General features: G+C 46.0%; 2 pseudogenes, besides 2 other annotated features; both read right to left on the bottom strand.

Annotated features, from left to right (window-relative positions):
* Nucleotides 1,613–1,682: a silencer, noted in NCBI's record as "silent region_19099". NCBI's record gives its function as "represses an Ori minimal core promoter by ATAC-STARR-seq in GM12878 lymphoblastoid cells {active_cell/tissue: GM12878}" and the evidence as "EXISTENCE:reporter gene assay evidence [ECO:0000049][PMID:35858748]".
* On the bottom strand, nt 6,644–7,338 carry RPL10P18 (ribosomal protein L10 pseudogene 18; annotated as a pseudogene).
* On the bottom strand, nt 7,386–7,483 carry LOC124900261 (uncharacterized; annotated as a pseudogene).
* Nucleotides 9,675–9,875: a silencer, noted in NCBI's record as "peak6988 fragment used in MPRA reporter construct". NCBI's record gives its function as "represses an SCP1 promoter by STARR-seq MPRAs in K562 erythroleukemia cells {active_cell/tissue: K562}" and the evidence as "EXISTENCE:reporter gene assay evidence [ECO:0000049][PMID:32103011]".

Here is a 12,637-nt window from a genome sequence, read left to right as displayed (position 1 = left end):
CGGCTCAAGTGATTCTCCCACCTAACCTCCCGAATAGCTGGGACCACAGGCGTGTGCCTGGCTAATTTTCTAAAATTTTTTGTAGAGACTAGATCTCCCTATGTTGCCCAGGCTGGTCTTTAACTCCTTGGCTCAAGCAATCCTCCCACCTCAGCCACCAGAGTGCTAGGATTACAGATGTGAGCCACTGCGCTCAGCCTAAAAGTTCCTAATCCTTAGGAACAAAAATCGATCTTAGGTTATTACCTGAACAATATATGTTAGGATTAACACAAGGTACATTAAGACCTTGCTAAACCAGGCTCCGTCTGATTTCTAGCATATTTTTAAAGGAAGTTGGTATTTTCAATCACAGCATTCCGTCGACTAAGACTTGAAACTAAGAATTCTACTTGTAATTTAAGCAATTGTCAGTGCCCTTAACACAACTAGTCACAACTAAAAAGGTCTACCTTTTAGTTATACCATAGAGGTTGCTACCATAGAGGCTCTGATCTCTCTTTTTTTGTTTGTTTTGTGGTGACAGAGTCTCTGGAGAGCAGTGGTGCAATTCTGGCTCACTGCAACCTCCACCTCCTGGCTTCAAGTGATTCTCCTGCCTTAGCCTCATGAATAGCTGGGACTACAGGCATGTGATACCACACCCAGCTAATTATTTGTGTATAGTAGAGACAGGGTTTTACCATGTTGGCCAGGCTGGTCTTGAACTTCTGGCATCAAGTGATCCATCTGCCTTGGCCTCCCAAAGTGCTGGGATTACAGGCGTGAGCCACCGTGCCCACCCCCTTTTTTTTTTTTTTTTTTTTTTAATTTTTGAGGCAAGATTTCACTCTGTCACCCAGTGTCACTGGAGTGCAGTGGCACAATCATGGTTCACTGTGGCCTCAAACTCCTGGGCTCAAGCAATCCTCCCACCTCAACCTCCAAGCAGCTAGGACCACAGGCACACACCACCATGCCCAGCTGGGTTTTGTATTTTTTGTAAAGATGGGGTCTCACTATGTTGCCCAGGCTGGCCTCAAATGCCTGGGCTCAAGTGATCTGCCCACCTCAGCCTCCCAAAGTGTTAGGATTACAGGGGTGAGCCACTGAGCCCAGGCCTCTTATTTTTTCTTAGCTAGTAGCTGCAATTGCTGACAATTGCTGCCACCTCTAGCAATGTTGCATGGTGATGCTTTATGGTCCTATGTGCACTCAGACCTTGCATCCATGCCCTCCAGCTTTGTTCTGTCCATGTCCCAAGGAAGCACTGAGTCAGCAGGGGGCATGCAAAGTGCATTAAGAGTGTTGGGAATGGCCTGTAATACCAGCACTTGGGGAGGCCGAGGCAGGCAGATCACTTGAGATCAGGAGTTTGAGACCAGCCTAGCCAACATGGCAAAACCATGTCTCTACTAAAAATAGGAAAATTAGCTGGGCATGGTGGCGCACCCCTGTAACCCCAGCTACTTTGGAGGCTGAGGCACAAGAATCACTTGAACCTGAGAGGCGGAGGTTGCACTGAGCCAAGATTGCACCACTGCACTCCAGCCTCAGCCACAGTGAGACTCTCTCTCAAAAAAAAAGTAAAAATGTTGGGAATGATTTTCGTGACCATAATAAGCATGGAGCAGCTGGGCCTATACTGCCCCTATGTGTTGAACAAGAGCGTTTGCTGAATAAGTATACTGTTCTGGTGTCATAGGTAAGCAGGAGATGCCCATACACCCAGAGGTTCCAGGCCCCACAGGTAGGTGCGATGCCTTCTCACCCCTGTTGTTGCACCATGGAGGCTGTCAGCACAGTGTGTGCTCATGCTGGGCAGTCCCGAGGTGCAGCTGGGGCACCTGGCAGTCCTGGTGCAGTTGTTGATACCTGTCTTGATGGAGTTCTTTGCCCAAGGGTACACCTGTTCTTACCACCTATTTTTCCCTCACTGAGAGGTAACCCCTGCTCTTCCTTGAAGCCACCAGCTCCAGCTTGCTGCTGCCAACCCTATGGAGCCTGATCCTTTCTTTGTTGGGGGTACCGCATCATCTCCCAGCAACCCTCAGCTTGCTTTAATGTGGGAAATAAAATGTGTTTCCTAAGCAAAACACAGAGCCTTCCCTCCAGCTCCTGCTGCAGCCTCATGGTAGATGCATTGCTGGGATCAGATGGGGAAAGTATGATCAGTAGGTTGGCTTCAACTTTCCTGCCTCAACCGTCTCCCCTTCCTCTTAAGGAAAATTTATTGGTGTTGAATTCATCAGATTAGCATAATTCTGATTGAATTTTATTCTTTTTTTTTTGAGACAGTCTTACTATGTCACGCAGGGTGGAGTGTGGTGTTGCGATCTTGGCTCACTGCAACCCCCACCTCCCAGGTTCAAGTGATCCTCCTGCCTCAGCCTCCTGAGTAGCTAGGACTCCATGCCCGGCTAATTTTTGCATTTTTAGTAGACACGGGGTTTCACCATTTTGGCCAGGCAGGTCTCTAACTCCTGAACCTCAGGTGATCTGCCCACCTCAGCCTCCCAAAGTGCTGGGATTACAGTCATAAGCCACCATGCCCAGCCAATTTTGATTAAAATATTAGCACTAAATTGTCTGTGTTCACAAATTTGAAAATCAATGTCCTGAAGTCAAGAGGACAGGGGAAAAACTTCCTTGTATTATTTCTAGTGCTTCCATACAGTTAGGTAGAATGCCATGATGGAGCACCGAGAAGGGAAAACTGGATATTGTTTAGCTGATCAGATATGACTTGGCAGCAGCTGAAAACAAGTTAAATAATCATGAATCAACTTGTAGTCATTAGCGTTGTCTTGTGACTCAGTTCAGTGTTTCTAAAGAACCTACTACCTGGGCCAGGTGCTGAGATAGGATAACTCCTGCCTCATAAAACAGTGTAAGCAGTGTATTTTAGGTGAGCAGGCTGGTATGGCAGAGAGACCCTTAGCACCACTGCTCTGAAAACTGCGAGGGTACCTGCCGGGATATGACATCTGAGTCTCGAGAGCAGTGTGGGCAAACTCACACAGGATAACAGCCTGTTGGGTACCAGAGAATGCAAACTGTAGAGAATAAAGTTGAGGTGGGCGAAGGCTGGAGAAGAGAAGTCTTGGGTGGGGCCAGACACTTGGGACTTGATAGAGTGAGAATTCTGAAGTTTCTTTAGGTTGGGCTTTTTAAAAATTTGGGCACCACTGGGCCAGGAGCAGTGGCTCAGGCCTGTAGTCCCAGCACTTTAGGAGGCCGAGGTGAGAGGATCATGAGGTCAGGGGTTCGAGACCAGCCTAGCCAACACGGCAAAACCCTGTCTCTACTTAAAATACAAAAAATTAGTTAGGCGTGGTGGCGGGTGCCTGTAATCCCAGTTACTCAGGAGGGTGAGGCAGGAGAATCGCTTGAATCTGGGAGGCGGAGGTTGCAGTGATTCAAATTCGCACCACTGCACTCTAGCCTGGGAGACAGAGTGAGGCTCTGTCTCAAAAAGAAAAAAAAATTGGGGCACCATTTGGGAGCTAAGCACATAATTTTCCTCTCTGTTCATGTGATGGCCATGGGCAGCTACAGTGTACTTAGCTCTATTCTCATTACTGAAGGATAATTTGTACCCTGAATGTGTTTCAATGGGTGAAAAACTGGGCCAAGCGCGGTGGCTCACGCCTGTAATTCTAGCACTTTGGGAGGCCGAGGCAGTTAGATCACTTGAGGTCAGAAGTTTGAGACCAGCCTGCCAACATGGTGAAACCCTATCTCTACTAAAAATAAAAAATTAGCCAGACATGGTGGCGGGTGCATGTAATCCCAGCTACTGGGGAGGCTGACGCAGGAGAATCGCTTGAACCCGGGAAGCCGAGGTTCCAGTGAGCCAAGATTGCACCACTGCATGCAGTCTCAAAGTAAATAAATAAATAAATAAAAATAAAAAGGTAAAAACTGAAGAAAGCTGGGTGATAATCATAGGTACCAGAATTCCAACTTCAATGATCTTATCTGTGGCAAACAAACACCAATCAGTCAAAGATAATAAGCATTTACCCACCAAGTTGTTTCACAAAATGCATTTCCTGCTTCCCCCTGCCCCGCCCCCACTGCCATATATATCCCTCTGAGTTTCGGATTAGGAAAGAATGTTGAGAAAAGCAACAGCTTACTTGTGACTACACAGATAATAAGCATCAGAGTCAAGGCACAAACCCAGGTTGTATGGATCTAAGTTTGCTGCCACATGTAGCTTCAGAAGCAGATTGCTCTCTGCAAAGATAAGAAAGCGGCAGGTGCTATTAATGCCTGGACTGATGCAATCCGGGAAGACAAAAACCCCAGAAAATTGTCAAGTGATTTGTGTGCTTGTCATTATCTAGGGCCATGGGGTGTGAGTTTTCTTTTTGTGCTATTTGTAAGTGTTTTGGGGGTACATGTGATATATGTTGCATGTACGGAATGTGTAATGATCAAGCCAGGGTATTTAGGGTATCCATCACCTCGAGTATTTACCACTTCAATGTATGGAAACATTTCAAGTCCTCTCTTCTAGCTGTTTTGAAATATACAATATATTGTTGCTAACTTGAATCATCCTACTCTCCTGTGGAATATTAGGACTTATTCCTTCTAACTACATGTTTCTCTCCATTAATCAACCCCTCTTTACACTCCCCCCACATACCCTTCCCAGCCTCTGGTATCTATCATTCTACTCTCTACTTCCATGAGATTTTTTTTTTTTTGAGATGGTGTCTCACTTCGTCGCCCAGGGTGGAGTGCAGTGGCGCGATCTCGGCTCACTGCAAGCTCCGCTTCCTGGGTTCACGCCATTCTCCTGCCTCAGCCTCCCAAGTAGCTGAGACTATAGTTGCCCGCCACCACGCCCGGCTAGTTTTTTGTATTTTTAGCACAGATAGGGTTTCACCGTGTTAGCCAGGATGGTCTCGATCTCCTGACCTCATGATCCACCCGTCTTGGCCTCCCAAAGTGCTGGGATTACAGGTGTGAGCCACCGCACCCGGCCGTTTGTTGTTTTTTTAACTCCACAGTGGATTACTTCTTTTAAAGAAATCTGTGTTTGTTTGTTTGTTTGTTTGTTTCTTTATTTTTTTTTTTTTTGAGATGGAGTTTCGTTCTTGTTGCCCAGCTGGAGTGCAATGGCGCCGTCTCCGCTCACTGCATCCCCCGCCTCCTGGGTTCAAGCGATTCTCCTGCCCTAGCCTCCCAAGTAGCTGGGATTACAGGCACCCATAGCCACACTGAGCTAATAAGGAATCTATGTTGAAGAAGCATTTATGAAATGAGTAATTGGAGCGTGGATGAGAATATGAAAACTCCTGACTGATAGACTGAAACAATGGGTCTCTTCAAGGACTGTGCCCTCCCATTCCTCCTTATTCCCTCCCATCAGTTTTTTGTTTTTGTTTTTATTTAAAGACAGGGCCTGGCTGTGTCACCCAGGCTGGAGTGCAGTGGCATGATCTCGGCTCACTGCAACCTCTGCCTCTCAGGTTCAAGCAGTTCTCCTGCCTCAGCCTCCCAAGTAGCTGAAATTACAGGCACTCACTACCATGCCCAGCTAATTTTTGTATTTTCAGTAGAGATGGGGTTTCACCATGTTGGCCAGGCTGGTCTCCACCTCCTGACCTCAAGTGATCCACCTGCTTCGGCCTCCCAAAGTGCTGGGATTACAGGCGTGAGCCACTGTGCCCGGCCCCTCCCATCAGTTCTTACTTCTGCCACCCATCCCTCAACAGGGCTTTTCCCATTCTCACCTGGGGTTCTTATGTTTCCCCAGTTTTGCATATTTTCCCCACTAAGGTAGGACGCAACCTCTGCCTTCCATTCTACCACCCTCTTCTATCTTTGTGGGTGTCAGAGTAATATCCTGCATGCTCTTGACTCACTCAGAGGGAGTCTTCTGTTGAAGCCATATGCACAGGTTCAGAGGGACAGATGTGATCAAATTAGAGACAAGGACAGACTGACCAGTAATGCAGGCATGTGTGGCCAGTGCCATTCACAGAAAAAAAATCAAGCTGTTTACGACACCCCAGTCAGCACTGGATTCCTACCTATCTTATTTTTAAAATCATGCCCATTTAATTCCTTTTCTAATAAACTAGTCAGCCAGGGAAGCAAGGAGGACCTGACCAATGTCACTTTTGTACATGGGCACGACTTCCTATTCTGTTCCCATGTGAAAGTCTCAGTAAGAAACCAGGGCAGGCTGGGCACAGTGGCTCACACCTGTAATCCCAGCACTTTGGGAGGCCGAGGCAGGTGGATCACAAGGTCAGGAGTTCAAGACCAGCCTGGCCAACATGGTGAAACCCCGTCTGTACTAAAAATACAAAAATTAGCTGGGCGTGGTGGTGGGTGTCTGTAATCCCAGCTACTTGGGAGGCTGAGGCAAGAGAATCGTTTGAACCTGGGAGGCAGAGGTTGCAGTGAGCCAAGATCGCGCCACTGCACTCCAGCCTGGGAGACAGGGTGAGACTCCATCTCAAAAGAAAAGAAAGAAAAAGAAAAGAAACCAGGGCATGTGCTCTGTAGAGGAGGGAGAGCGCCAGGAGGACTAGAAGATGTTTTTGATGACTACTGAGCACACTTTCCCATCTTCGGCACCTCTCTGGTGCTAAACATCAGCACTTCTTTCTTTCTTTTTCTTTTTTCTTTTTTTTTTACCTGGACAGGAAGTAGCATTTATTGGTGGGTATTAAGATGGGGCAGAGGCCGGGTGCAGTGGCTCACACCTGTAATCCCAGCACTTTGGGAGGCCGACACGGGCGGATCACGAGGTCAGGAGTTGAAGACCAGCCTGGCCAACATAGTGAAACCCCATCTCTACTAAAAATACAAAAAATTAGCTGGGTGTGGTGGCAGGCGCCTGTAATCCCAGCTGCTTGGGAGGCTGAGGCAGGAGAATTGCTTGAACCCGGGAGGCGGGGGTTGCAGTGAACCGAGACTGCGCCATTGCATTCCAGCCTGGACAACACAGCAAGGCTCTGTCTCAAAAAAAAAAAAAAAAAAAAAGGTAGGGGGTGGGGAGCAGCACAGTGGAAGCCCTCACCAGTGCCGGACCTGCCACTTGTCCAGAGGGCCATGACTGGGGATGTACTTGACCCTGCAGCTATCTGGGATGAGCTGCTTCTCAGCCACTATGTCTTCTCATTCATCCACATTGAACTTGGTAAAGCCCCACTTCTTGGAGATGTGGATCTTCTGGTGGCCAGGGAACTTGAACTTGGCCCTGCATGGCGCCTCAATCACATGCTCCTTGTTCTGCAGCTTGGTGCAGATGGACTTAACTTGGCCAATGTGAACCCTGGCCACAGTGCCCTGGGGCTTTCCAAAGGCACCTTGAATGCCTGTTTCGAGCCTACATCGGGGGTAGTGCAAGGTCAGAGACATGAACGTACATTTGAAAGGCCTGTCTCCAAGGACCCTTAGAGCAACCCATACAAGAAACAGGCCATGTACACCACCAAGAAAGCTGCTGTTTGCAGCCATTGCACACTGGGATCAGAACTTCTTTCTTATCAATCTCGTCTCCTCTCCCATTCATTTTTTCTCCCTCTTCCTTTCTTTCCTCTTTTTTTCACCTTTCATCGCAGTCTAGTCTCTATCATGGCTGAGAATGCCAAGCCATTGCAAAACCCCTCCTGATGGGCTACGATAGTCATGAATAGTTCAAAGGATACACAGATTACTAAGAGTACACCCAAATGGTTTAACCCAAATGTGGGTTTAAGCCCCCACAGCAACCAGCTCTGAGTTTCTGAATGTTTACTTATATATGTCTATTATTTCTCAAGATGATGCTGATATCCTCAAAGACAGGAATAGAATCCATGGCGACTTTGATGCAATGTGAAGGCGGCCATCAAATACCAACCTAAATGAAGAAAAAACTAGATTTTCTTAAGTGTAGGAGAAATTGATTTGAAAGCATAGTGGATGTCAAGTTGGTCATAAGGCAGAAAAAAGTCAAAATGAATCCAAAATGCAATAGCACAATTATAACATGCCGAGAAGTCCTTTCTGCCTTCAATACTGACCAAATTTCTATTGGATTCCTTTACTCTCATTTTACATCTGCAGAAAAATAGGGAGGCTGTAAAAAGTGCCATGAGGGGCCAGGTACAGTGGTTTACACCTACAATCCCAGCACTTTGGGAGGCTGAGACAGGAGGATCGCTTGAGCCCAGGAGTTTGAGACCAGTCTGGGCACTATAGTGAGACCCCAGCATATATATATATATATATATGCTGCCATGAGGAAGAAATTGAAAGAGTATTTTTAAATCTGGAGGGACAAAGACCAAGAGACAAGCAAGTTGGTGGTCATCAGTATTATGTTGTAAGCATGAATCTCCATTGCAAACTCAGATATTCTAGAAATTACAGTTTTCCTCCCATTAAATTGATGCTGAGCTACCATCCTTCTGAGATCATGGGAAATCCATACCCTGTCTGCAATGCTGTCTTTCTTTCCATAAATATTCATGTACCTCAGAGTCACACAGATCAACACTACCCAGCCATCCTTCTGTACACACCATTTAACCACTAAGCTGCTGGTCTCCTGGGCACCTTTTCTGGCCCCGCCCCTATCTGTCACCCTTCGTGCCTAATGTCAAGTGCAGGAAGCTTACTGAAGTGTCAAAGGCACAGACACTGGGTGACAGTGTGAGACCCTGTCACAAAAAAAAAAAAAAATGCATTTCAAAGCAGATACCAGTAAGCTTCTTATATTAACTTGTGCTGCTAGCTTCTCTTTTTGTGAGTTAACTGAGGATGACTAGAAATCTGCCTTGAATATGAAGATGAGCAGAGAACTTGCTGACAGATTTTTGAAGAGTAGCTCTGACTTCAGGGTGGTTTCAGGAATAACTCAGCTATATGGGTGGGTGTGGTGGCTCCCGACTGTAATCCCAGCATTTTGGGAGGCCAAGGTGGGAGGATCACTTGAGCCCAGGAGTTTGAGACCAGCCTGAGCAACATAGTGAGACCCCCATGCCTGCAAAAAATTTAAACAAAGGTGAGCTGGGTGTGGTGGGCCCATGGACCCAGCTACACAGGAGGCTGAGATGGGAGAACTGATTGAGCTCAGGAGGTTGAGCCTACAAGTGAGCTATGATCACACCACTGCACTCCAGCCTGGGCAAAAGAGTGAGACCCTGTCCCAAAAAAAAAAAAAAAAGGAATAACTCAGATATGAAATCACTTCATATTTATGTATTTATTTATTTATTTGGTATGGCAGGGACAGAGTTTCACTCTTGTCACCCAGGCTGGAGTACAATGGCATGATCTCAGCTCACTGCAACCTCCGCTTCTTGGATTCAAGCAATTCTCCTACCACAGCCTCACGAGTAGCTGGCATTACAGGCGCCTGCCACCACACCCAGCTGATTTTTGTATTTTTAGTAGAGACAGGGTTTCATCATGTTGGCCAGGCTGGTCTCGAACTCCTGACTTCAGGTGATCCACCCATCTTGGCCTCCCAAAGTGCTGGGATTATAGCCATGAGCCACCGCACACAGCCTATTTCATATTTAAAATGTGGTGGCAGTGACAAAGAGTTGACTGCCTCACTTAGCTTTTCTTTCTTTCTTTTTTTTTTTTCGTTGAGACATGATCTGATATGGTTTGGCTGCTCCCCCACCTAAAATCTCATCTTAAATTGTAACCCCTATAATCCCCATAATCCCCGTGTGTCAAGGGCAGGACCAAGTGGAGGTAATTGGATCATGGGGGTGGTTCCCCCATGCTGTTCTCATGATAGTGAGTCTCACGAGATCTGATGGTTGTTTAAGCGTCTGGCATTTCCCGTGCTTGCACTCACTCTGTCCGTCCTGCTGTCCTGTGAAGAAGGTGCCTGCTTTTCCTTTGCCTCCTGCCATGATTGTAAGTTTCCTGAGGCCTCCCCAGCAATGCAGAACTGTGAGTCAATTAAACCTCTTTCCTTTATAAATAACCCAGTCTCGGGTTATTCTTCATAGCAGCATGAGAACAGAGTAACATAGGGTCTCACTCTGTCACCGAGGCTCTGGAGTGCAGTGGCACAGTCATGGCTCACTGCAGCCTCGACCTTCTGGGCTCAGGTGATCCTCGCACCTCAGCCTCCCAAGTAGCTGGGACTACAGGTTTGTACCACCACAGCCAGCTAATTTTTTTATATTTTTTATCGAGACAGGGTCTTGCCATGTTGCCCAGGCTGGGCTCAAGCAGTTCACCTGCCTCGGCCTCCCAAAGTGCTGGGATTACCAGGATGAGTCACCACGCCTGGCCCTCATTTAACTTTTAACCTTGATAAATTGTATGTTGTATGTCAAGGCAAAACGGAAGTGGGGGGGAGGGTGCAGAGGCAAGCATCAGGTGGGTAGAATACCCTCCCTTTATCACACATATTAACATTCCTTGCACAATTACCCAGTGAATATTCTCATTTTGGACTTTTTCCACACCCTAAATTTAGTAAGCTAGAATTATCTTTATTTATTTCTCTCTTTTTTTTTTTCCTAAGTCACTGTGTTTTAGGATAGAATTATCTTTTAAGCACCACTTTAAGCAACCTTTTTGGAAGGAAGAATGCTGACAAGGAGGAGATCTGTGTTTCCTTGTGGTTAGAATGCAATATCCTTAACTTAATCATTCTGCCAAGAAGCTGAGTCTCTTTATATGCTGACAATAGAGCAAAGACAGTAATCCAACACATTCATTACAGGTTTGTAAGATTAAAAATTTATACATTCAGATTGGAAAACATGAGAAACAGACTTGCTGCCAGACCATTAATTCTGGGCATCTCTGCATTCTGTGTTCTGGAAGCTGTGCACATTGAATTGAATAATTGCCTGAAACATGCCAGGGGTTTTCATTATCTAAAGAAGTCTATGTCGAGCCTTTTTACAACTAAAACCTCTCTAAAATGAGACTTAAGGAGTTTTTTACTTAATTTATAGACTTTAAAACACTAAGATCTGCATGTAAATAAGTTTAAGTGAGATGTGCCTATAGAATAAAACAATTAGAAGTAATTTCTTTGGTTTTCTTCTTATTATTATTTTTTAGTAGAGATGGGGGTCTCGATTTTTTGCCCAGGCTGGTGTCAAACTCCTGGCCTCAAGTGATGCTCCTGCCTTGGACTCCCAGATTGCTGGGATTACAGGCATAAGCCCTTGCTCCTGGCCTAGAAGTAATTTATTTAAAGTCTTGTTTACAAAGAGAAATGCACGAAGCACGTACAGAGGAAGAAAGAACAGTTCCAAATGAATGATTTTTGTTCCTAGTATTTGAGGAACAAAAGGTTCACTGACAAGAGTCAGTGATGAAATGTGGCTGTGTTTGGGAAAACATGGGATCTTTCCCTTCTACGCCTCATTATGAGATTAATTTGTAGTGTGGAATAAACAAAGCTAGCCCTGGAATTCAAAGAATGGGTTTTAAACCCAGCTCTGCCTCTAATTAGCCAGGAGACCTCAGCCTAGTTCCTTAATCTCTCTAAGCCTCCTTTTTCTCCTCTGTAAAATGGAGATATAGTAACTGCCTCAGAGTGTGATTAAGAAGAGTACATAAAAAAGTGTATATGAAAGACTTGAAGTCATGCTATTTTTGTTTCTAAAGTCACAGGGGGCAGGGCGCAGTTGTTCACACCTGTAATCTCAGCACCTTGGGAGGCTGAGGCGGGTGGATCACGAGGTCAGGAGATCGAGACCATCCTGGCCAACATGGTGAAACCCCGTCTCTACTGAAAATACAAAAACTAGCCGGGCATGGTGGCATGCGCCTGTAGTCCCAGCTACTCAGGAGGCTGAGGCAGGAGAATCACCTGAATTTGGGAGGCAGAGGTTGCAGTGAGCCGAGATTGCACCAGTGCACTCCAGCCTGGGTGACAAAGCGAGACTCTGTCTCAAAAAAAAATGAATCAATAAAATAAAATAAAAATAAATAAAATAAGGTCATAGGAAGCCATGCAACTAAACAAGGGGACTAAGTGAAAAGTCTGTAAGAAATAAGGAAGTTTGTGTATATCCCTCCCCTGCCATTATCCCAATTAATACAGCTGTCCCTTACTGAGCCTGTACTAAGTCACAAGCACTGCATTCCGGGTTTGCTTTCTTTCACTGGGCAGAGCTGATGCCCACTGAATATACAATTTGTAGAGAAGTCTGATGTGGATGATTGTACTTAGAATCAAACTTCTCAAACTTATTAAACAGCCAACACATATTGAGTGCCTACTACATGCCAGGCATTGTGCCAATGAGCAAGACCAAAATGGCTCCTACTCCCAAGATGTTTACAGTCTAATGGGGGAGATGAAGCCTAAACAAGCATACTCATATATTTAATACATGGACCAACCATCGTAAGGTATCCAGTGACTACCTTCGTAAAACCAGAGGAGAGGGATGGACAAGGAAGGTCTTTTCTGAGCAAGAGACATTTAAGCTCAGAGCACAAGAATGACAAGAGGTAGGGAAAGGCCAGACAGAAGAGTGTATGTAAGAAATTGAGGAAAAAAAAAAAAGAAAGAAATTGAGGGCCGGGGGTGGTGGCTCACGCCTGTAATCCCAGCACTTTGGGAGGCCAGGCGGGCGGATCACCTGAGGTCAGGCGTTCAAGACCAGCCTGGCCAACATGGCAAAACCCCATCTCTATTAAAAATACAAAA

The sequence above is a fragment of the Homo sapiens genome, chromosome 8, assembly GCF_000001405.40.
Source record: "Homo sapiens chromosome 8, GRCh38.p14 Primary Assembly".
NCBI classification, from domain to species: Eukaryota; Metazoa; Chordata; class Mammalia; order Primates; family Hominidae; genus Homo; species Homo sapiens.
The sequence above is the reverse complement of the archived record's forward strand: the minus strand, read 5'-3'. Positions and strand labels throughout refer to the sequence as shown.